The 26,443-nt window shown below is 37.7% G+C and overlaps 1 long non-coding RNA gene across 1 annotated transcript; it reads right to left on the minus strand.

Annotated features, from left to right (window-relative positions):
- Positions 1-26,204, minus strand: LOC105376187 (uncharacterized). Its single transcript, XR_930187.3, has 3 exons — positions 26,071-26,204; positions 502-593; positions 1-147 (listed from the first exon to the last, which is right to left on the minus strand). It is a non-coding gene; the product is annotated as an uncharacterized LOC105376187 (long non-coding RNA).
- Between the last annotated feature and the right edge of the window lie 239 nt (positions 26,205-26,443).

The raw sequence follows: 26,443 nt of genomic DNA on the forward strand, positions 1-26,443 counted from the left end.
CACAGCAGGTCTTCAGTCTGGAACTTCCAGTTCTTCTCTATGTGGGCTTCCCCATGGGATTCTTTGGTCTTCCTCACAGCATGGTGGCTGGTTTTCAAGAGCATTGTTCTAAGACACAGGTAGCGGAAGCTGTCAGTTTCATAAGGCCTAGGCACAGAAACAGGTACAGTGTCACTTCTGTAGTTTTGTGTTGATTAAAGCAATTGCAGAACATACACAAAATCTAAAGGGAATGGACATAAATTCCCACATCTCCATGGTTAGGTTGAAATGTTAAGTGAGAAAAAAAAGTGTGTTATTCCTACTCGATTGTCAATAGTTTTTACATTTTAAGACTCTGTTTGGTTTACTCCATCTAACACAGTACCTTAAGTTGTCATTGTTAAAGTTAATTTAAAGTTAAATTGAACAATGATTTTATATGGCTCAATATTTGAGGAAAAGTGTGAAAGATGTTTTTCTAAAATTGGGAGAGAATAAACTGGATAGGATCTTTCCTACCTTGATTGTTTTACTCCAAGAAGTCCATGTTACTTCCCCAAAGTCATTTTCCTTTCATTGCAGCCATGGTTGACTGGCCAACTGGACATTAGCTGTAAAAATCAGAGAGGAAGAAATTGCTTTAATAGATTCAAAGTCAGGCAAGAATATTTCCTGCATCGTGAGCCACTAAGCTGCAGGTATTCCAGACTGCTGCCTGTTGGAGATCACCGAACAAATCTGATGGCCCATAAAGGCAAGACGGGCTTAAGGCCAACCTAAAGGGTAGAACTGTCAGAAGAGTTTTAAAAATGAGTCATGCAGTGTTGATTTTAACTCAATGTTGTGCTTAGGTATGGAAAAACCATTCATCATTATTTCACTTATAAAACCGTACTCAGTGCTCAGCTGGTGTACAGCCTTCTAAGGCTCATGGGACATCTACCATTCATTTTTGTCTGTATTGGTTAATGCTGTTCAGAGAAGAGTATTCTGAGATAAAAATTTTGTTTTAAAAAACAGAGGTTGATAACTCTGAAAGCAAAATAGGACTAGCAGCTCGTGGCTATGGAGAGACAGGGCTTAGTAATTCCTGCGTGTGGCAGTTCTTCCTTTATCCAGAGGTTCAGGAACAATTTTCAGAGTGAAATGGGTCTCTGAATTTTGGGCAAGATCAGGAAAGCCCTGTCCCTGGGAACTAAAGGGATGTTTGCATTTAAAAAATATTTTTAATTTTTGTGGGTACATAGTAGGTGTATATGTTTTATGGGTTACACAAGATATCTTCATGCAGGCGTGCAATACAGTAATCACCACATAAGGGTAGATAGAGTATCCATCACCTCAAGTATTTATCCTTTGTGTTTTACAATTCAATTATATCCTTTTAGTTATTTTTAAAAATGATTTCTAATTGGATCAGAAATTATGATGAGGAAAAGGCCTTAATTATGAGGCTTGTGATATTATCTTTCAGACAGCCTCAGTTAAAAGTTGGAAACTTAACCTTATGAGAAATGAAACCTAAAAAGATGCAATGCAAGGAAAAGAACTGATATCTAACTTCACCTGGAGAGATTTCTTCCCTGCCTGCTGCCTTTCCTACTGATAATGAAGTGTTTTTCTCCCAGCCTTGGTGTTATAGGACTGTGTTTGGAATTCTGAATACTGTTTCCCTTCGCCAGCGGGCTCCTATTGGGTGCTATTATTATGGGCAACTAGAGAGAAACTGAAAGGCTGAAGGAGGAAAAGGAGATCATGGCTTCTTTCTGTTTCTTGATCCTTTCAGGACTATAATAGCAATGGAGCATCACTCTGAATGCAGTAATTGCTTCCAATAGCACCAGGTGGCTCCAGTTTCCATTTGCTTTTTTATATTCTCGTACCAGCCTTGTTGCATCTACCAGGATTACCAACAGTAAACAGATGGTCCTCTCCCCATAAGTCTCAGTCCTAGCTCTGCAGGGGCGGTCCTCTGAGCTCTGGAGGTACTAGGCCATCTAGCAGCTCTCCTTCCTCAGAGATCTATGTCCAGGTCATCAGGATTTTTCTTCCAAGCTTCTAAGTTCTTAGGACCTTTGGATGAGTAGCTGCTTTTGAAGTACCATTTCTTGGTGTCTCACTGTTTGCTTTTTGCCTTAATCCTTTTATCCTATTCACAAATTCTTTATATTAGACCTCCATTAAAATCACGGATGAGTATGACTGTGACTGATATATCTATTTTGTAGGAATGTTTACAGTAGGCCCTAGTGCTACACTGATTTTGCAATAGAGGTGCAGAGCCTGAAGCTTTCATTTTTCACTAAGATACAATGGTAATGTTAACCCATAAGAATTGCCATAGTACAGTTACTAATCAACCAGCTAAACATGCAGAAGGAGGGAAAGAGGTGGAATTATGTAGAGGGGTCATAATTTAATTGTTTTGAACTTCTGGACTGACCTGGCTCTCTAAGGGCCAGCATTTTCCCCATGAAATTCTCTTTATATAAACATTTTACTCCTCCTTCCACTCTCCCACTGTAGGTGCCACTCTATGGTTGCTGGCTTATGTGTATGACTCTAGGACTCCATTTTGTCCTTGAGTCCTATTGGTACTTTTTCTTCTGTTTAAGAGATGGATGAAGAGAAGTGGAATAGGGAAGGAGAGTGGACATAAATTTACTAAGTCATTAGGACGTGGTGCCATTAAGAAGACAAGAGACAAGGTGTCCAGACCACAGATCCATAGTGTGTACATCAAGAAATTCACAGGAGGTACATCTGAGTTAAATCTTGAAGGATGAACTGGAGTTCACATGATAAAAAGGGAAGAGGAGATCGTTTGCTACAACTAGATAATACACATCCAAATATCTGGATAGATGGAGCAAGCCTGTAACATTTTGGCAAATTGTTGAATAGCAGACGGGAAGGGCAAAATTAAATTGGATTTTTGTCATATCTATTTTCCAAGCACACAAGACGTGCTGGGAACTGAATATTGTTTGTATAAAATGTACTTTTAAGTAGGCTTCAGGATATATAAAATTTTAATTGACTTCCATCAAAGTATATATATTTCCCTGTTTACTAATTATTTTGGGTAGATATGTCTTATTTTCCCACTTAGATTTCAATTAGAGACAGTATTAAGTACTATTTTGTATCCATCTAGCAAAACATTACACAGTGACACATAAACAACTTAGTAGATTCATATGAATTTAATAAATAAAAAAATTAATGAAACTTTAAAAACCCTATAACGTGTCATGAAAATCGCCTGTTGAGACCAGTATTCTATTCTGGAGAAAAGCATTTTGTTTTCTTATGTGGTATGGGTCTCAAAAGGTAAGGAATGTACCACTTCATCCAAAGTTCTCAGGATTTCCTTGTAATACATCCTTACCACAATGTGAACATACATTTAGTTAATGATTGAATCAGTAATGATTTTCAAAATATGATTGGAAGACCGATTTTTTTACCTGTCATAGAGGGGTTTGATTTATAGTAAAATAATTTAGTTAATCTTTGCCACTTTGGGGGTGTTGAGCTTCCACACCTGCTTCATAATGGTATCTTCATCTTAACTTGGAGATCACTTACTTGAAGGCAGTGTCCATCTCTAGGTGTGGAAGCCAAAGATGGTTCCTCTTTCTTCATCTTGATAGAATCAGGTGGCAAAACTCTGACACAGACTTGAACAACAGGTGTTCTTTTGTAAGATTTTGGATCTTGAGCAAGTGATAGCACAATACAGAGTCTGTTAGAGTTGTCTGACATCCCCTGGGTATCTTCTGCATAGCCGTCCAGAGCTTACTTGGGACCTGTCAGATTTTCAAGCTGGTCTTCCAGTAGTCCAATATAATTCCAATCAATTCTCTCTCTCTTTTTGCTTCAGATGATCTGTGTCATGTTCTGCTGTTTACAACCAAATGCTGAGATGATATAGATGGTGTTTAAAATACAAGAAAACATACATATCTATGTTCTCTTATATTTTTATCCTCATTTAAACCTGATGGTTTTAAAGAAGTATAAATACTACAAAGTAGAATTTTGACCAACAAAGAGAGTATTTCTGTCTTTAATTTCAACCATCTGTGACAAGTTTCCCACCGGATGCAAAGGTTGTTGACAGGTATTGTAAATGCCTGCAAGTGACACACACATTTTTAGATGGAGATTTCGGGATTTCCCCAGTGAAAGTGATAAGCTATCCAGATGGTGCCTTGATACCACTCAGCAGAGTCCTTTAACGATAACAATTAACAGCTAATTATATTTAATACCTTGAAAGGAGTCCAGTCGCATTTGTTTGATCAGAAATCAATCCCTGGGTAGATCCAGAAGAGAGAAAAGACTTCCAGCACAGCCATCTGGATACTCTTTTCCCTGCCACTTTTGCCACTGAAGAGGGTTTAGGGATGTCCATGGCTCCTCTTGGAATATATATTCTGCGTCTGGAAGCTGTTTAAAGAATGGGCCTTGCTGAATTAAAAAGAGAAAAATTGGTTTTTGTCCCATCAAAGACAAGAGTCAAGTTGGATAAAAATTCTGTTTAGATGGAGAGGACAAGAGAAAAAGCTTAGAAAACCTGCCCTAGACATTTGTGGTGATTCTAGGAGTTATGATATAAAAAAACTATGCCAAAACAAAGTTGGAGCATAACTACTGCAAATGATGAATTCAAAGAAACATATGTTGCTTCTTCCCATATTATAAGCACAATCTCTCTTCACATAGCTTATACACAGGAAATGAGCATTATAATGAAACTTAATCAATTTATAGACTTATAGTTTAATTCTCATAGAAGCTAGTAAGGAACAAACAGCTTTCAATATATGTTATTTACTTCCCATTCAGAGTGCTAACTCTGCCTACTTGACCTGCATAACTAAGGCCAAGCTCTTCCTCACTGGGAAACAACTGAACATGTAGAGATCGTCCATCCAGGAACCATGTCTTGGTGCACCTCATAACTGAGTCCAGAATCTAGATAGTTGAATCATTGTAGGCAGCATATGACTAAGGGGTGAGATGTAATAAAATTATAGTTATCCCCCTCTGGAAATGGCCTCAAAACACAGTGGAGGGCCCTCAAACCCTAAGAGGCCATGTCTGTGTTGTTGAACCCCATGCTTTTGGTCAGATAGCTGATTCAAGCTGGACCAATTAGATTTTATTTCCTGGAAATCTGAATCTTAGAGAAGGGAGGCAGAGAGACTTAGGGGTTTTGGAGCTCGGTCACCAAAATGGCAATACTTTAGAAGAAAAGTTCGTCCTGTATATTTTTATGTGTACTTCAAGCATAGCTTTTTAAAAAGTGTATTTTCATAGGTTCTGATGTTTTTATCTTTTTGTGGGGCTAGAGTTCTACAATTTCAATTTAAATTTCCAAAAATTCTGAAGGTTTGTATCAGTCAATTCAGGATAGGTTAACAGTAACTTCATAGTACATATCCATTAGGGTCAGTTGGGAGCTGTGCTCCATTGATCCTCAAACAGAACCATCTGGAATGATGCCAGTCACTGCAGCACACCCTTAAATACTTCTGTTCAGATTTTATTGGTTAATGCAAGTCCCATAAGCATGAATTCAAGAATGTTAGGGAAACACAGTCCTATTATGTCCTGGAATGACAAAAAGTAGAAATACTGGAAATATTGATGAGTGGCACTAATGTAATATATCAGTTGCAGGATTTTTTGTTTCCTGGTTTATTTATGGTCAGAGAATATTTCCTGTAATCTTTATACTTTATAAATTTGGAATTTATTGGAGTTTGCTTAGTGGTTGAATATATAGTCAATTTTTCTGACTGTTTCATGGACAGGAGGGCATATTGCCTCTGGTTCATGAAACAATGCCCCCTAAAAGAAGGCATATTACCTATATTTGGGGTATAGAAATATATATATATATATATATAAATTACATCTACTTTTTATATATGATACTTATATATGATACTTTATATATAATATTTATATACTTAAAAAATGTTTTCTGTCCATTTGATTTGCTGTCAATTAAGAGAGGAAATGAAGATCTGTGATTTCATTATTATTTTTTTAGAGACGGGGTCTCATTCTGTTACCCAGGCTGGTGCTATCATAGCTCAATACAGCCTCAAACTTCTGGGCTCAAAATAAGTGATTATAGTTGCTTGCCACCACACACAGCTAATTTATTTTATTGTTTGTAAAAGCAGGGTCTTACTTTGTTGCCCAGGCTGGTCTCAAACTCCTGGCTTTGAAGTAATCTTCCCACCTTGGCCTCTAAAAGTGCTGGAATTACAGGCATGAGGCACCGTACCCAGCTTGAATCTGTTATTTTAAATATATTTTCATTTATTGACCTTTGTATCTTCTGTGATTTTTGCTTTATAAATATTATTTAGAGCATATATTTGTAACTTGTATAACTTCATTATAAATTGTGCATTTTATAATTATAAAACACTCTATTTTTATAATTTTATGCATTTTCCCTTGAATTCAGACTTATTTGATACTAAGATCATAAGCACTAATCTCTTTTAGATACATACTTGCCAAGTGTTCTCCCCTACTACTGATAGGTTACTTATGATTTCCATCTGGATCCATTGATTATTCTCTCTTCCTTGAAATATCATTTTTTATTTGTCTTCCAGAATATTATATTACGTAGTTTTTCTTCTACCTCACTAGTTGCTAACTTTTTCTCATCTTATTTTTACTATTTTCTTATCATCTCCCTAAACCTTTAAATTAGTTGGCGTGCTTGAAGGCTCAGTTCCTGAAACTCTTGCCTTCTCTATTTTTACTAATTCTTTTGGTCGATGCCTTTTAGCCACTGGCTTGAATGCCAGCTGTCTTATATCAGTCAAGGGTTCAATCAGAAGACAGATATCATAGCAGTTATTTCTACAGAAGGAATTTAGTATAAAGCATTATTGACTAGGCATACATTTATTGACTATATCACCAGTGACTATTATTTTGAGATATTGGGCCACATTTTCAGCAATTATAGCTTTCAAAGAAAGGGCTAAGTTTGAGCACTTCAAGGTGTCATTTCCCAGTGTAATTTTAATTTTCTCACATGTGAGCTATATTGATGCCTGAGAAAGCACCAAGTGTGTTTGAGTATATAGATAATACCAGCTATCCTCTATGCACTGGCACAAACTCTCTTGCTCCTTTGTTTTTTTTAAATTTTCACTTGTTCACATGCTTTTGGTTAATCCTTACTTGCATTGGAGAGATAAGAGCACAGAGATTTGAGTTTGACCATTGATGTACAAATAAACAAAGTCTTTTAGCCTGCTTTGGTTGTAAGCCCCCAGAATTATCTGGATAAGGTATGAGAGGTCCTACACAAAGTCAATACTAATTTGATAGAGTTTTCTATTAGAGTGTGGAAGAGAGGTCTAGCCAGGAATATGCTCCTTTCTCATGCTCTTCTTTCTCTAAGTCCGTATGTTCCTTGGACATTTTCTTGTCAAAAGCGAAATTGACCAACTATCTTGTTAGAAATATAAATCGGCTTTACTTTGATAAGCAACTTCAGCAAAGTCTCAGGATACAAAATCAATGTGCAAAAATCACAAGCATTCTTATACACCAATAACAGACAAACAGAGAGCCAAATCATGAGTGAACTCCCATTCACAATTGCTTCAAAGAGAATAAAATACCTAGGAATCCAACTTACAAGGGACGTGAAGGACCTCTTCAAGGAGAACTACAAACCACTGCTCAATGAAATAAAAGAGGATACAAACAAATGGAAGAACATTCCATGCTCATGGGTAGGAAGAATCAATATCATGAAAATGGCCATACTGCCCAAGGTAATTTATAGATTCAGTGCCATCCCCATCAAGCTACCAATGACTTTCTTCACAGAATTGGAAACAACTACCTTAAAGTTCATATGGAACCAAAAAAGAGCCCGCATCGCCAAGTCAATCCTAAGCCGAAAGAAAAAGCTGGAGGCATCACACTACCTGACTTCAAACTATACTACAAGGCTACAGGAACCAAAACAGCATGGTACTGGTACCAAAACAGAGATATAGACCAATGGAACAGAACAGAGCCCTCAGAAATAACGCCGCACATCTACAACTATCTGATCTTTGACAAACCTGAGAAAAACAAGCAATGGGGAAAGGATTCCCTATTTAATAAATGGTGCTGAGAAAACTGGCTAGCCATATGTAGAAAGCTGAAACTGGATCCCTTCCTTACACCTTATACAAAAATCAATTCAAGATGGATTAAAGACTTAAACGTTAGACCTAAAACCATGAAAACCGTAGAAGAAAACCTAGGCATTACCATTGAGGACATAGGCATGGGCAAGGACTTCACGTCTAAAACACCAAAAGCAATGGCAACAAAAGCCAAAATTGACAAATGGGATCTAATTAAACTCAAGAGCTTCTGCACAGCAAAAGAAACTACCATCAGAGTGAACAGGCAACCCAAAAAATGGGAGAAAATTTTCGCAACCTACTCATCTGACAAAGGACTAATATCCAGAATCTACAATGAACTCAAACAAATTTACAAGAAAAAAACAAACAACCCCATCAAAAAGTGGGCAAAGGACATGAACAGACACTTCTCAAAATAAGACATTTATGCAGCCAAAAAACACACATGAAAAAATGCTCACCATCACTGGCCATCAGAGAAATGCAAATCAAAACCACAGTGAGATATCATCTCACACCAGTTAGAATGGCAATCATTAAAAAGTCAGGAAACAACAGGTGCTGGAGAGGATGTGGAGAAATAGGAAAACTTTTACACTGTTGGTGAGACTGTAAACTAGTTCCACCATTGTGGAAGTCAGTGTGGTGATTCCTCAGGGATCTAGAACTAGAAATACCATTTGACCCAGCCATCCCATTACTGGGTATATACCCAAAGGACTATAAATCATGCTGCTATAAAGACACATGCACACGTATGTTTATTGTGGCACTATTCACAATAGCAAAGACTTGGAACCAACCCAAATGTCCAACAATGATAGACTGGATTAAGAAAATGTGGCACATATTCACCATGGAATACTATGCAGCCATAAAAAATGATGAGTTCATGTCCTTTGTAGGGACATGGATGAAATTGGAAATCATCATTCTCAGTAAACTATCACAAGAACAAAAAACCAAACACCGTATATTCTCACTCATAGGTGGGAATTGAACAATGAGAACACATGGAAACAGGAAGGGGAACATCACACTCTGGGGACTGTTGTGGGGTCGGGGGAGGGGGGAGGGATAGCATTGGGAGATATACCTAATGCTAGACGACGAGTGAGTGGGTGCAGCACACCAGCATGGCACATGTATACATATGTAACTAACCTGCACATTGTGCACATGTACTCTAAAACTTAGAGTATAATAATAAAAAAATAAATAAAATAAAGAAGTATAAATCGGCATCTTATTTAACACTACTTACAATTTTTCTCTAATGTGTGATTTAAAAGGAGAAAATGTATATGACAATAAGAAATAGTGTTACATTTTGATAATATTTTCTCCTTCCATGATGTGGGATTTTCTTATTGCATTCTCTTCAAAAATCACATAACCGTTTTACTTGTGACCATTTTGTGTATCTTTTTGCTCTTTCTGTATTATCAAAATGCAATTGTTTGCAATCAAATACTCATGAGAATATGACTAAAATAAAATACTGGCCAAATAGATAAATATTAATGATGATATTGATAGTTGTTTTCTTCTGAAGTGCTTTGGTGTATGTTAACTCATTTAAGCCTTATCACAATTTCATGAAATATTCTGAGCAAGTGTTATCCTCTTGTTTTTACAATCAATGACACTGAGGCCTAGGGAGTTTAAATGACTTGCTCAAGGTTGTAGTTTAGTCTTTTCTTTTTTCTACATTGTTGTGAGACCCAAGCACTCTATAGTTGCCATTATTAATTTCTATCTTTAAATTCAAGTGGACTCGAGAATCTTTTGCTGGTTAAACTATTTTTATTTCTGCAACAACAGAACAGAGTTTGACTCACTGAATTGGCCTTTATGAAAGTTAATGAGGAATTAAGCTGCCTGAGAGACTTGAGGTGAAAGATTTCTCCAGGTCTTTTATACCCTGTAAACATACAGCAGGTAGAGAGCAAAACTTACCTTTGTACCTTGTCAGATGCAGGGGAGGAATTAATAAACACAGAGGAAGGAATTGCCTGCTGGGTGCTTTTACTGTTTAAGAGCTTCCAGTAATTGTCACACTTCTGTCTTTACTTCATTCTTGTACAGAGTGTACCTTTTATTCTCTAATCATCTTCTGTCAGTGATTATACACCTGTGGTCTCAGGGCCACACTTTGCCAACAGGAGGTATACAAGGAAGCAGAGAGAATATCTCACTGACTTAGGTGTAGTGTTTCTTTACTGTTTCTACTCATGAATGCCTCTGCTTCAAATTCTCTAAGCTGTTGGATTCTGTACCTCCTTTGACCTTCAAGATGCTGTTGATCTCTCCAGCCTTGCCTAAAACCACGGAATTAACCCATTTTCTCCTCTCTCCTGACCTCAGATTTGTTTTAGGATTCTCAATTTGCAGGACTTGTTGGGTTCCTGACCCATTGCCTCCTCTGTTATCAGGTTCACATCTGACTGCTCAAATTGGTTGAAATTAAAAATTCTTCATTCTGCCTCTGTCTGATGATCTCTGCCCCATCTATGCTTGGGAATTATACTTTATGCTTTAGTTTTTTATTCTGCATTTTTTTTATTCTGCATGTTCAACGGAGAGCATGATTCTCTATTGTAAGCTCTCAGGGTTATTTAAATTAGTTACCTGAGAGTGGACATGAAACTTAGTAAAACCCGAAATGATTGGAACCATGGGAAGCATGTGATGTTTTTTTCTGAGGAGGAAACACATAATGAGAGTTCTGTCTTTTAGGAAATGCACTTTTCCAGATTCAGTTTATATCAGTTCAAATCTGGAAAATAATCTATCACCTTAAGAGTGAGGTTTCATACCCTTTCCCGTTCTCCACCCAATAGCTATGGAAAGGGGAAGATCCCAGAGAACTTGGATAGGAAAGGTGAAGTCAGAGCAGTGCTTCAGCCCCACAGGGCAGTAAGGGCAGCCTTCCTCTAAATACCAGATTCCCAAATCTGGCTGTGCTTTCAATTTGGGAGTTGGACATACTGCTAAACTATAATTTCTTAGGCCGTACCTAAAATATATTATGGAAGCATAGCCTGGAAATCTAAATTTTTAACAGATTCTCCAAATGATTCTGATGCAGTGGGTCAAAAGATTGATATTTGAGAGCCACCGCTCTTAGAAACTGGAGGTAACAATTATGCAGATCATAATTGAGAGTAAAAAAACATCTTACAAGATACAGTTGATAAAGACTCTGTATTTAAATCAGTCTGACAAAAGAGCTATTGAGAGGGGAGAGAGAATTCTCTTCAATTCTTTATGAACTCTTTGATACAAGAAGCTGAGCAACCTCCATAACTAATTGTTAGAGTATGAAACCTGAAAGAAGAGGATCCATGAATCATGACAAAATCAAAACAGTTGACAGACTAGAAGAGATGTATTTTCCTTATCGACACCTAGCTAATGGCTTCACCATTGTCCTACTGAAGATGGATTGAAAGTTAATGTTGGACTCACCGTGTTTCGTAGCTTATGTTTATCATGCTTGTTACATCTTTATTGTTCTTTTCTTATGGTGTGTGTTTCATAGTTCTTCGTTCATCACGCTATTTCATCATCAGTGTCTTCTTTTTAAAAAGATGAAGTCCCAAAGTTACATATTCTTCAGCTATTTTTATAGACACATAAATCACAACTGGGTTTGACTTTAGTGACAAATGTAGTCAATAATCTGATATTCAGAGTGGGAAAAGTAGAACAGTAGCTTCTCTTAACTTCTTAACTTCTTAAGTTACAAAGTTGTAACTTAAGACTGGCTTCTATCTAGGCATGCTCAGGGGTGATATTCAAAAAGTAATACAAATTAATGTGTAAATAAAATGCATTTAAAATTCTGTTCTCTAAATTAGACATGTGTATGACACACATCTATAATTATACAATTGCTTACTTAGTTATATAAATCATTCATCCAATTTAATAATTTTCAAATCAGTTATTGATTTATTTAGAAGTCAATAATATAATCTTTTGTTTATCATTTCACTAAGTTTCTCCTGTCTGAGTCCAGATTTAATATTGTGAGCCACATAGCAGTGTTCCAATGACTTCTCCAATAGGTAGTTCCCTTATGTGTCTGAAAATATTAAATGGAAAATTCCAGAAATAAACAATTCATATGTTTTAAATTGCACACTGTTCTGATTAGTGTGATGAAATCTTGTGCCATCCTGGGCTGTCCTGCCCGGGATGTTAATCATCCCTTTGTCCAGTATGTCCACACTGTATAAGCTACCTGCTCATTTGTTGTCAATACTGTCTGCTCCAGACATCCAACCATCTACCCTATCATGGCTCCATCAACCAGACTCACCCAAAGCAGATGCTCCTCCTTCTGATGTATCATTACAGGGTCAGTAGTAGTCTAACACTGTGTCACAATGCCTACATCATTCACCTAACTTCATAGCATCACACAGTCGTTTTATCATCTCACATCATCACAAAAAATGAGTACAGTAAAATAAGATATCCTGAGAGAGAAAAAGAGAAAGACCGCGTTCACATAATTTGAATTATAGTATAATTGTTCCATTTTAGTATTACTGTTGCTAATCTCTTACGCACCTAATTTATACATTACACTTTTTTTTCTTTGTTTTTTTTTTTTTATTTTTTTTTGAGATGGAGTTTTGCTCTTGTCACCTAGGCTGGAGTGCAATGGTGTGATCTCGGCTCACTGCAACAACTGCCTTCTGAGTTCAAGCGATTCTCCTGCCTCAGCCACCCAAGTAGCTGGGACTACAGGTGCCTGGTACCATGCCCAGCTAATTTTTGTATTTTTAGTAGTGACGGGGTTTCACCATGTTGGCCAGGCTGGTCTTGAACCCCTGACCTCAGGTGATCCACTCGCCTCGGCCTCCCAAAATGCTAGGATTGCAGACATGAGCCACCACAGCCAGCCAAATTTATAAATTAAACTTTATCATAGGTATGTATGTAAGTATAAGAAAAAAACATGGCATATGTAAGTTTCAGTACTATCCACAGTTGCAGACATCCACCAGAGGCTTAAAACATATCCCCCATAGATAAGGGGGATAAGAGCTACAGTAAATGGAAAGTGGATAGGTACCTGGCACCTGTTACTTTTGTGTCTTTTGTGCTGGCTGCCCTGCCTTCATGTGCATATCCGGAGAGCCTGAGTTTCAATCAGACTGTGGCTATCACTGTCATCAACTAGTGATGACAATGTTGCTGCCAGTGTGCTACTGCTTCTGCCATCTGCTCTGCTACTTTGTCCTTGCAAATCTTGAGCTACTTTAAAATAGCAGGTGGGATCAGAAAATGCCACTGGCACTGTTGCTGCCACCAGCTCAGCAGCCACCACGAATGTCCCATGTCTATACTGGCAAGACTTGCATTCTCAATTTCCTACCTTTGTTGATGCTATGCAAGATTATTAGATGGTGTTTTTCCTCAGTAACCTATGTGGCAGAATTTTAGATTTCAGTATAGCATGACTATACTGTTGTAAACTGGTTGAATAGCAGTTCTAGGTATACTACCTCTGTCAGTTCAAAGGAAGTTCAGCTGCATGTAACAGATATGTAAACAAACTAGACATTTACTTTTTTTTTTTGTGGGACAGTCTAGAGATAGGCAGTTTGGGGCTAGTATAGTGGCTTGATTAGTTTATACAATCTCAATTTTTTTCTTTTGATGTTATTTCATCCATGACATTCGGTTCATGGTCCAAAATAGCTGCTCAAGCTCAAGTCCTCATGTCATATTCCAGCCTTCAGGAAAGAGGAAAATGGAGAGGAGAGAGATGTGATGTTTCCTTTAAGAAGACTTCACAGGAGCCTCACACAATATATGTCACATGTAGAAGCAAGGTAGGCTGGAAAATGGAGTCTTTAGGATGCCAAGTTTCTAGCTCATAATCAAGGTGATAGCTAAAGACTAAGTTTGGAGACAATTTGCGTCCTGTTACATCTCTCTTTAAATCATGCCCCTGTTTCCTTAAGGTTGATAGAAAAAGCACAAAGAAATGAAGATACAGATGGAAAATATGGAATGCTCATTCAAGCTACAGTTTCAAAGCATTTTGATTCTGGGTCATGAACTTTTGAAAACATTTTTTTCCAATGCCCATATCAGAAAGCTAGAAAGATCTCAAATTGACACCGTAACTTCACAATTAAAAGAGCTGGAGAAGCAAGAGCAAACAAATCCAAAAGCTAGCAGAAGAGAAGAAATAACTAAGATCAGAGCAGAACTGAAGGAGCTGGAGACACAAAAACCCTTCAAAAATCAATAAATCCAGGAGCTAGTTTTTTGAAAAAATTAACAAAATAGACCACTAGCTGGCCAAATAAGAAAAGAGAAGAATCAAATAAAAAATGATAAAGGGGATATCACCACTGACCTCACAGAAATACAAACTACCATCAGAGAAAACTATAAACATCTCTAAGAAAATAAACTAGAAAATCTAGAAGAAATGTATAAATTCCTGGACACATACACCCTCCCAAGACTAAACCAGAAAGAAGTTGAATCCCTGAATAAGCCAATAACAAGTTCTGAAATTGAGGCAGTAATTAATAGCCTACCAACCAAACACAAACAAACAACAACAACAACAACAACAAAAATACAAAATACAAACAAACCCCAGGACCAGGTGGATTCACAGCCGAATTCTACCAGAGGTACAAAGATGAGTTGGTGCCATTCCTTCTGAAACTATTCTAAACAATTGAAAAGGAGGGACTCCTTCATAACTCATTTTATGAGGCCAGAATCATCCTGATACCAAAACCTGGCAGAGACACAACAAAAAAAATAAAACTTCAGGCCAATATCCCTGATGAACATTGATGCAAAAATCCTCAATAAAATACTAGAAAACTACATCAAGCAGCACATCAAAAAGCTTATCTACCGTGATCATGTCAGCTTCATCCTTGGCATGCAAGCCTGGTTGAACATATGCAAATCAATAAATGTAATCCATCACATAAACAGAACCAAAGACAAAAACCACATGATCATCTCAATAAATGTAGAAAAGGCCTTCAATAAAATCCAACATCCTTCATGTTAAAAACTCTCAATAAACTAAGTATTGATGAACTATATCTCAAAATAATAAGAGCCATTTATGACAAACCCACAGTCAATATCATACTGAATGGGCAAAAGCTGGAAGCATTCCATTTGAAAACCAGCACAAGACAAGAATGCCCTCTCTCACCACTCTTATTCAACATCGTATTGGAAGTTCTGGCCTGGGCAATCAGGCAAGAGAAAGAAATAAAGGGTATTCAAATAGGAAGAGAGGAAGTCAAATTGTCTCTGTTTGCAGATGACATGATTCTATATTTAGAATACCCTATCATCTCAGCCCCAAAACTCCTTAAGCTGATAAGCAACCCCAGCAAAGTCTCAGGATACAAAATCGATGTGGAAAAATCACAAGCATTCCTATACACCAACGATAGACAAGCATAGAGCCAAATCATGAATGAACTCCCATTCACAGTTGCTACAAAGATAATAAAATACCTAGGAATAAAGCCAACAAGGGATGTGAAGGACCTCTTCCAGGAGAACTACAAACCACTGCTCAAGGAAATAAGAGAGAACACAAACTAATGGAAAAACATTCTAACCTCATGGATAGGAAGAGTCAATATCATCAAAATGGCCATACTGCTTGAAGTAATTTATAGAGTCAATGCTATTCCCATCAAACTACCATTGACATTCTTCACAGAATTAAAAAAAACTACTTTAAATTTCATATGGAACCAAAAAAAGAGCCTGTATAGCCAAGACAGTCCTAAGCAAAAAGAACAAAGCTGGAGGCATCATTCTACCTGACTTCAAACTGTACTACAAGCCTACAGTAACAAAAACAGCATGGTACTTGTACCAAAACAAACATATAGACCAGTGGAACAGAACAGAACCTCAGAAGTAACACCACACATCTACAACCATCTGATCTTTGACAAACCTGACAAAAACAAGCAATTGGGAAAGAATTCCCTATTTAATAAATGGTCCTGGGAAAACTGGGCTAGCCATATGCAGAAAACAGAAACTGGACCCCTTCCTCAAACCGTATACAAAAATTAACTCAAGGTGGATTAAAGACTTAAATGTAAAACACAAAACCATAAAAGCCCTAGAAGAAAACCTAGGCAATACAATTCATGACATAGTCATGGGCAAAGACTTCATCACTAAAATGCTGAAAGCAATTGTAACAAAAGCCAAAATTAACAAATGGAATCTAATCAAACTAAAGAGCTTCTGCACAGCAAAAGAAACTATCATCAGAGTGAACAGGTAACTTACAGAACGGGAGAAAATTTTTGCAATTTACTCATCTGACAAAGATCTAATTTCCAGTATCTACAAGGAACTTAAACAAATTTACAAGAAAAAAACAGACAACCCCATCAAAAAGTGGTCAAAGGATATGAACAGACACTTCTCAAAAGAAGACATTTATGCGGCCAACAAACATGAAAAAAGCTCACCGTCACTGGTCACTAGAGAAATGCAAATCAAATCCACAAGGAAGTATCATCTCATACCAGTCAGAATGGCAGTTATTAAAAAGTCAAGAAACAATAGATGCTGGCAAGGCTGTGAAGAAATAGGAATGCTTTTACACTGCTGGTGGGAATGTAAATTAGTTCAACCATCGTGGAAGACAGTGTGGTGACTCCTCTAGGATATAGAACCAGAAATACCATTTGACCCAGGAATTGCATTACTAGATATATAGCCAAAGGAATATAAATCATTCTACTATAAAAACACATGCACATATATATTTATTGCAGCACTATTTACAATAGCAAAGACATGGAACCAACCAAATACCCATCAATGATAGACTGGATAAAAAAAATGTGGTACATATACACCATGGAACCCTATGCGGCCATAAAAAGGAATGAGATCATGACCTTTGCCGGGACATGGATGAAGCTGGAAACCATCATCCTCAGCAAACTAACACAGGAACAGAGGACCAAACACCACATTTTCTCACTCATAAGTGGGAGGTGAACAATGAGAACACCTGGATACAGGGAGGGAAGCAATGTACACCGGGGTCAGTCAGGGCATGGGGGTCAAGGGGAGGGAAAGCATTAGGAAAAATGGTTAATGCCTGTGGAGCTTAAAACCTAGATGAAGGGTTGATAGGTGCAGCAAACCACCATGGCATGCGTACACCTGTCTAACAAACCTACCCGTTCAGCACTTGTATCGGGGAACTTAAAGTGAAATAACAAAACAAAAGAAAACATTTTTTTAGGAGCAATTTTCTTCCGTCAGTGCTCTAAAAGATCTGCATTCTGTAGTCCTTCCCTCAAAGAAAGCCTTGCCCTGGACTTGAATGCTAATTATAATCATTACAATATTTTCAGTGTATGTACTTTGAAAGCTTTATGGGAAGGAAATGGAGACCTGCAGTTCTGGATATGGCTGAGTGTGTCTGGTGTGCTGAAGAGAGTCAAAATGAGAGTAATATTGAGTATACAGTTGTTGACCCAGACCCATCATTCTAGATATATCAAATTGTGAAGCTTTTGTGTTTTTTTTTTTGAGATGAAGTTTCTCTCTTGTTGCCCAGGCTGCAGTGCAATGGCACAATCTCGGCTCACCACAACCTCCGCCTCCCGGGTTCAAGCAATTCTCCTGCCTTAGCCTCCCGAGTAGCTGGGATTACAGGCATGTGCCACCACTCTGGCTAATTTTGTATTTTTAGTAGAGATGAGGTTTCTCCATGTTGGTCAGGCTGGTCTTGAACTCCTGACCTCAGGTGATCCACCTGCCTTGGCCTCCCAAAGTGCTGGGATTACAGGCGTGAGACACAGTGCCAGGCCAAGATTTTACAAGAAACTACATTTTCCAAAGATTGTCATTCTGAAGAAGAAAAATGATAAGAATAAATTTATATACATGAGCATATCAGACATTTTCAAGAAGTTCTCTTACTTATGTGTTTTAATCGCCTCCTATTCACTCAGTTGGTGACAGAGGGATTCCCACCCTAAGGTTATGGGGATGGCTGAAGATATGACACTTGACACTAAAAAGATGAAATGGACAGCATTTATTAGTCACATACATTCACAGCTTGCAGGGAGGAGGACACCATATGTCATCCAGGGTCACACAGGGGTTGGACTCAGAAACAGAATGAACAGCCAGGGGCTGCAGAAGGCAGATTTTGTAGAATTAAAAGGGTGATGTGTCCCCTGGTTCCTGTGGAAGATGTGATCAGCTTGTTTGAATGATTCTACAAGTTGGCAGGAAATTGAAACCCAATACTCAGGAATAAGCAGAAACTGTGTCTGGTGCCTTTGATAAGGAGGGCCATTTGGCTAGGAAATCTTATCTGTAGGAGCAGGTTTGGGAGGGGACATAGCAGTTAGGCTATTCAAAGCCCTTCTGATTTCACCAGATGTCAAGGCAGTACATAATATTGAGCCTCAAGTTTAGACCTTACATCACATACTGAAGATTTACTGGGCAGGGGTTTTCCTTCTGCTTCTCATTGGAGATATATTTAAACAGGGAGACTAGGATCTTTGTAACTTTTCCCCTTGTTTAAGTACAGTGGCCATTCAGTGCTTGACTAAATTTCCTTTTCTATGAAAAGTATATTAATATTTACAAAAATCCAAATTGATATTGTATTACATAAAGAGAAAACATTATATCACTATTTTTTTTTCGCTCTCAAAGGACAGGTCAGCAACAGGACAGCCATCACCATGAAGCACGTAGGGACTTTTGCAGTATGTGTCTCTGGCAAAAGAAAGAAAGCTGGACTGGGGTAGGGAAACTGACATAGCTCTGGAATTGGCCCACAATGGATATGATTGAACAATTCAACTGGAGTATCCAAAAACGTATGACAGGGGCAGATATATTTTAGGATTGACATTTATATCCTTGGGAGTAAGCATCAATGATAGTTTCCATCATGGGTGATTTCCAAACTCAGGCAGGTGGTAGTACTTTGACAATGGGTAGTTAATCCAATGGTTCAGGTCAAAGGGAAAAGTCCAGTCCTTGGTGGTGATCTGAAAGATATTTGCTATAGCATCACAGTTAGTGCTTCTTGCCTAGCAGGAAACACTGGCAATGCTCAGCGACTGAGGATTGGATGATCCCAGCAGGTAATGGACCAAAAAGCTTAGTGAGAGTTTTGGGTGTCCAGGTTTTATCAGAAACTTTTTTTTCTTTTAAAAAGAATTGAATGGAATCCCCCTCCTGATATGCCCGATTTTCTTTTATTATATTAGTGATACAAAATGTAATTAAACATATTTTCTTCTTTTAGAATTTTACTTTTTAAAAATATCTGTCAATTGTATGGGGAAAATATCCATGCTTGTTTGGAACATAGAACCTGTTCTGAGATGAGTTAGGCTTATTTGACAAACAACATTAATTGATCACCTACTATAATTTAGACATTGAACTACATGTTAAAAGTCCTATAAAGAAATATACATGACTGTCCTCCTTTCTATGCTCATAAAAAATTGAAAGTAAAGTAGCATGTTCAAAGTTCCATGAAAATTGCTATGCAGTGCTTTAGAAGTGAAAGAGCAATATATTATGTTGGTCTGATAAAAGAAAGAAAAATCATAGGGGAACCAGTATTAAGATGAGACTTGAAAGATGAGTAGAATTTTTTTTTAAATGTAGCTTATTTTTACACAAGATAAATATGTACTCCAAATAAAATATTTCTAAACTCTGAAAATAGAAAATAAAATAGAAAAATAATGTCATCACTTTTGATCACTACTGATAACATTTTTATGTGTTTACTGTTGTCTTGTACTTTACCTATAATTCTCTAATTTGCATTTTCCAAATTCTTAAAAGCCTCTAGGATATATAGATTTCATAAAATATATGTGCCATAATTTAAATTACTACCCACTCAGACAATTTGAACTTTATATAAATGTACACAAATTTATATGGATAAGTTAATCAAATGGCAAATGGCAGATTACCTTTTTTTTCCTTTTTTTAGACAGAGTCTCCCTCTGTCGTCCAGGCTGGAGTGCAGCTGCACAATCTCGGATCACTGCAATCTTTGCCTTCTAAGTTCAAGCGATTCTCATGCCTCAGCCTACTGAGTAGCTGGAACTACATGCATGTGCCACCACGCCCGGCTAATTTTTGTATTTTTTTCAGTAGAGACGGGATTTTACCATGTTGGCCAGGCTAGTCTCGAACTCCTGACCTCCAGTGATCCGCTCGACTTGTGGACCGCAAAGTTGTCGGAGCTGTCACAATTACACTTCATCATGCTTAGGCCTCTTGTCAGTTGAAATACTGTGTTAGCTATAGGTGTCGAAATGTTCAGTAAGTTTTTGTTCCTTTTGACTTTCCGTGGTCATTTACTATAGTGATTTAGGGTGAAGTTAGCCTAGGGCAGGTATTTGGAGCAATAAAGCACTGTCCTCTGGAAGATTTACTAGTTTCTTACCTGTTTATTCCTCCTCTCACACTGACACCACAGGAATGTGGTGTAAGGCACACATTAGAGAAGCTATTCTAGGATACAAGGCGATAGGATTGAGATACGGAGATGACAGTGAAGATGAAACATGAAAGATTAAGGAGAATCAACATAACAGATAAATGAACAGAGATCAGAACAAATGGTAAAAAATCAGTAACTGAAGTCATAGCTACACAAAACTTTCCTAAACTGAAGAAAGCGTTGAGTCTGCAGAATAAGGGGTCTCACTGAGAAGCAGGCAGCATTGATGAAATGAAACCAGTATTTAGACATATCATGCTGAGGTATCTAAATTTCACAGGATAAATAAAAAATATTCCACAAACATCCAAGTAAGAAAAATCAGATTATTTGTGTAAGAAAAAAAAATTAAGTGCGTCTAGGATTTCTTTGTTGCCAGATGGCAATGCTAGAAGCAATATATATGGTGGTGAGGGAGAGGATGACAATGTTATTGACTAAAGATCCCACCTGTGAGCATATTGCCTCCTTTGTGCAGTGGCAGCAAAAACACATTCCACAATATGCAAAACTCAGAAAATGTACTACACAAGCTTCATACCTGATATTACTCAGAGATAGCCTCTAAATGAGAAAAAATTATATCACCATTAAAAAACCCTTTGAGAACAGTGAATCTGTATTGTAGAAACACTGGTAGTGAGTAGTAAAACCAGTTAAATGATAAATATAAGTAATTATACTGATTACCAACATAATCAAAAGATAAATTTTAAAACAAATTTTAAAGATAAGATGAATAATGTAAAGTATTAAAATGTAATAATAAAAATCTAGGTATAAAATTTTAGATCAGTGAGTGAAATAGAAGCATAAATGGTAGAGTAGTATTGATTTTATATGCATTTTTATATGTAACCACCCTGATGATTAGTTTATTAAGTTCACTTATTTGTGTTTTTCGGTACACAATTACTTCAGCTATAGTTGTTCATGATATTATATATTCCTTTATAGTGGTTTTATCTCTTAGTTCTGATGCTATTTTTTAAAAACTGTTTTTGCAGAAACAAACACAAATGCTACTGGAACAGATCAACAAACTCTGCATCCCAAAACTCCTGGTTACCAAGATTGGCTCATTCTCTTCTTTGTTGTTAGGCCCAGTCAGTCTCATAATTATCACTGGCAAGGCTGTTTCTGGCCTGAAGGATCCAGAATACATTCCTAATGCTTGATTTCCTAGGACTTCGAAGGTATTCAGAGGCAGTCGGCTTACAGACTGCTCAGTGTGGTGAAAATATTCCCTTTGATTGTTAATTAGTTCTTTGACTGCATTAACAACGTCAATCTAGCAAATGTCAATGCCGTATTGAGAACATAACCCTATTTCACTTATGCACTTGTTGGCAATTTTAGAAGCATATAATGGTCACTGCTGTCTTGGTCTGTGAGTGAAATGCTGTCCTCATTAGGAACCAGACAATGCATTTAAAACAGCAGGAAGAAAACTAAGATTCGTCCCCCAAGCACTTTTGCTGTGGAGGCAAGTTGCTTTCCTTGTTCTGATCAGAGGGTCTCATAGGCCTTGCCCACATGGGTCTGCACTGTGCTGCTTCTCCATCAGCATCCCTCCATTGAGCTCTCTCCTGTTTAGTTACGGTCATTGTTGTCTCCTCTGAACCCAGACTTAGAGTCACACAGCTTTTTCCTTTCACAGATTGTTTGATTCTCCATCTTCCTTTACTATTGATCTAAGTGATCGCTGTAGTCGGGACCACTTAGCTTTTTAAATGCAGTGTCTGTCCTGTTCTTAATTTCTAGAGCTGACTCTGACTGGAGACAGGAGGTACTGAAACAGTTCTACCTCCAAATTTTTTCCATTTGCAGTTAGTCTGAACCTTATGCCCAACTTCTCTTACCTGGAGTCCTGATCTCATAACAAGGGTTTTGGGTTTTGATAATCTGCCATGTTTCTCAGGTACTGTAATGCTACCATGCTCTCTCAGGAGCCCTGCCCTAAATCCCGTGTTGGTGGCTGAGCCCTGACTTCCCTGACACTAATGATTCCAGGCCTCCCAGGAAGTCCTGCCTCTGTGCTCTGCCAACCTATTGTGATACTCTGCTGCTTCCTTTTGAAGGTTTTCTGTTTAATACGCATGTGGATTGGGGCCTGATATTATCATATCCTTCTTCTCCACTTGAGTGTTTTGTTCTTTGTTGTATAGCATGGCTCTTCACATGTGTAGCTTTTTTGGGTCTCAGCTGAGTGATTGTGGTGCTTAGCAAGGTCTCTCCATTCTGTCTGGGCCAGAATTCCAAAATTCCCAGCACTGTATAACATCTGCCATCTCAGTTCAGCATTAGGTCCCAGAGCCACTATTTCTCTTAGGCCTTACAGAATTTTGCCTTGCACATATGCAGCCCAGCTTCTCCTAAAGACCCTTGGGGAAACCCGTGCCTATTTCTTTATGTAGCTCCTTCCTTTCTAAAGCCCTGCTCAGGAAATTCCAGCCACCTCAGCACCCTAATCTCCAAATTCTGCTTTCTCAGCTTAGCAAGACCATTGCTTTCTGCTGGGGTTTCAACTCCCTGCTTCACCACTGGGAAATTTTCCCTGAGGGAGAAAGCCAGGAAAAATGTGGGATTCTCCACATGTGCCTTTCTTCTCTCAAGAATCAAAGTCCTGTTTGTAGATTAATGCCCAAAAATAGTTATTTAATATATTTGGTACATTAATAAGGTTGCTTTTTATGGGAGGGTAAAGTCTGAATCCAGTTATTCTGCCATGGATGGAAGTACCAAATTTTGTGGGTTTTTAAAAATTGATAATGTAGAAAAGCTTCTGGTAGTTTCACAACTTGATATTGGTTATGTCAGGTGCATTTTTAGGAACTGTCAAATTTGGGAACTTCTATACAATTCATATATTCATATATTTTTCATATATGAGGTAAATGTAACTCCAACTAAAATTCCCCTCAGCCAGGGCCACAACTACCCTAATATCTCCAGGCAAGAGGCAGAGTGGGATGGAAGGAATCAGAGGGTAGACAGAAGTCTTCACTGACTATTTTTACAATATTTTACTTTTGAAAGTTTTACAGAAATTGAGGATCATGTAAATACCGTGTTGGTTTCTTGTCCAGACTTTGGAAGGGATTTGTGCAAAAGACGGGCCCTTAAATTGCATTAGCTTCATGGCTGGGGAGCTGGGGTGCATGCTTCTTTTATCATCTGCTGACCAAGGATTTCTGCCTTTGCTACTTGCCATGTTTGTGAAGTCTCCTACCCTTTGTCCAGATTCTGAATCTGGAACTTTCTTGGTTCCAAACAACTGAATATTTTCTCACATATTTTTGATACATCGTTTTTAGTCGTTTTCTTCCCCCAAATGACCAAAGCCAGCTTCTGATATCTTTTTAAAACAGTAATTCAGGTAGATGATAAACTATCACACAAATCCTTTGTCTTACTTTTCCAAACAGATCTCTGAGAGTCCAGCTACCTCAGAATAGAAGAGCCTTGTGCTGTTGCTGGGAACCCAAAGATTTTGACAGTGAAATAAATTGTGTTGGGGCCCTCAGGGTATTTTTATTAAAGTAAGATTATACGATGCATTGTAAGAGCAGAGATTATACATCCTGAAAAACAGTCTTTTACAAATATAACGATTATATTATTTTGGCATGCTTTTGACACCCATTTGTGAAACTGAAGTTAGTTACTTAAACTTATTTGATTTGAGAAATTTTACATTATCTCTGGGATTAAAACCCAAAGATGATAAATGTTGAATTTAAAAAGCATTGTGTTAATTCATCATTTAGTTCAAAGACTGTCATATGGAGATATTTTCTTTCAAATTGAGAAGCCATTATCTACACATACATAAGCATTTTCTTCTATAATGTAAGCTTGATATGGTATGATAGTCTGATAGATTTTAATTTCCTTGGATTAGTTAATGTAGGCTTTCCTAGATAGAGATGAAAATATTATTTATATTATAATCTACTTGAAATAACATGGATTTAGAAATTCTTCCTTTGATAGTGGAAAAACCCTGAAAGATCACTTAATTAAAAAGTTACAAATTAGTAGATAACCCATTGCTTATATAGAAAAGGTAGGTTGGGGGATTTATATACAGTTTTAGTTCTCTGATTTGATTATTCTACAATGTTATACCTATATTAAAAGATCACATTGCACCCATAAATATACACAATTATTATTTGTCAATTAGAAATAAAGCTTAAAGAAATTCAGATTTACAGTGATTATTTCTAAATTTATTGGTGAACTTTTCATGTATCAGATTTGTTTATATATCAGAAAATATCTTTGAGGAGGCACATGAAAATATTACTTTTCTTAATTAAAAAAGTAAAAAAAATCACTATTTCATCAAAGATACATAAAATAATTTTTTTTAATTAAAATTTGGCATTCCCAGAGTAGCGACCTAGATAACTTATCTTAGAGCAGAAGTTTACAACTCTGTTGAAGTGATATTTTTTATTCTTTATATCTTTCCAACCCATGAAACTTTTTAGAAAAGTTAGTCAATAACGTGGCATTGACTCTGTTTGACTGTGATTGACCTCTCTTACTTATGGCATAATATCTATTTGTTTCATTCCACAGAACTCACAGCTGGAATCACCCAAAAGCAGCAGCAGGGAAGTTTCCACAAGGGAGTACCCCAAACCATCCCCGGATGAGGCCAGTTAGGATTCTAAAGAAAGAAGCACTAAAGGCCAGGGTGATCAGCCCAAATCTTTATTAGGGAAACTTACAGAGTGCTGCAGCAATGCTCCTGACAAATAGTAAGAGAAAAGGAGTGTTCTGCCCGCATATAAACTCCATTATCTGACCCCCTCGCATGTCCACAGTGAAGGGGTCAGGATATGGGAGTTTCTATGCAGGTTTAAGGAACCATATTCCTTATTCCATATTCCTTAAGGAAATATATTCCTGGCTCAGGGCCATGGCTAGTTTCTTTCAGTGTTTTGTGCAACAATCTAGGTACCATTATCAGTCCCGAGGTGTGTTCAAGGCCCCAATCCGAGTTCAAGCCTGCTGGAAAAAAACTTGCAGCCGGCTGGGTCACAGACCAGTCAAGACACTCTGTGATTTTCAGTCAGGACACAGACAGAAAGCAGGGGGCCTCGGGGACCCTACACCATTCTTCACCTTTCTGGGGTTTCTTTGGAAAGACTCATCTCTTATTTTCATTGTGAGATTCAGGGGAGATTACCTCTACCACTGGCTCCATGGTGGATCCCTAGAGGCTTTAGTCAACCAACATGTTTTCCTCTCGCTTCCTAACCACACAGTGTAGTCAAGACATTTCTGTGCCTTGAAAGAGAAACCGATTCCTCTTACCCTGGATAGTGCGGTGTGAAGTTGCAAGATCTGGAACTGCTGTAGCCATTTTACTCTTGTGAGGAGAGAGCCTGGAACTGCCTGCTGAACGGAGCAGGGATTACTGTGTGGAGACTAGGCATGGAGCCAACATCGTAAAAGCCAAAAGTAAAAGATGAAGAGAAGTTGAGCCCTTGATGACAAGTCTGTGGTGTTGTTTCAAGCTTTTCTCGAAGCCAGAAATCTCTCTGAACTTTGAAGCACTTAAGCCAGTGCTTTTGTTTATTATTAAAGCCAGTTGAAGTTGGTTTTCTGACATGTGCTCACAGATGATTCATCACAAATACAAAATTTGTTGCTTAGAATAGGGAGTCATAAGTGATAGACTCCCATA

Source organism: Homo sapiens, chromosome 9 (genome assembly GCF_000001405.40).
Source record: "Homo sapiens chromosome 9, GRCh38.p14 Primary Assembly".
Lineage (NCBI taxonomy): Eukaryota > Metazoa > Chordata > Mammalia > Primates > Hominidae > Homo > Homo sapiens.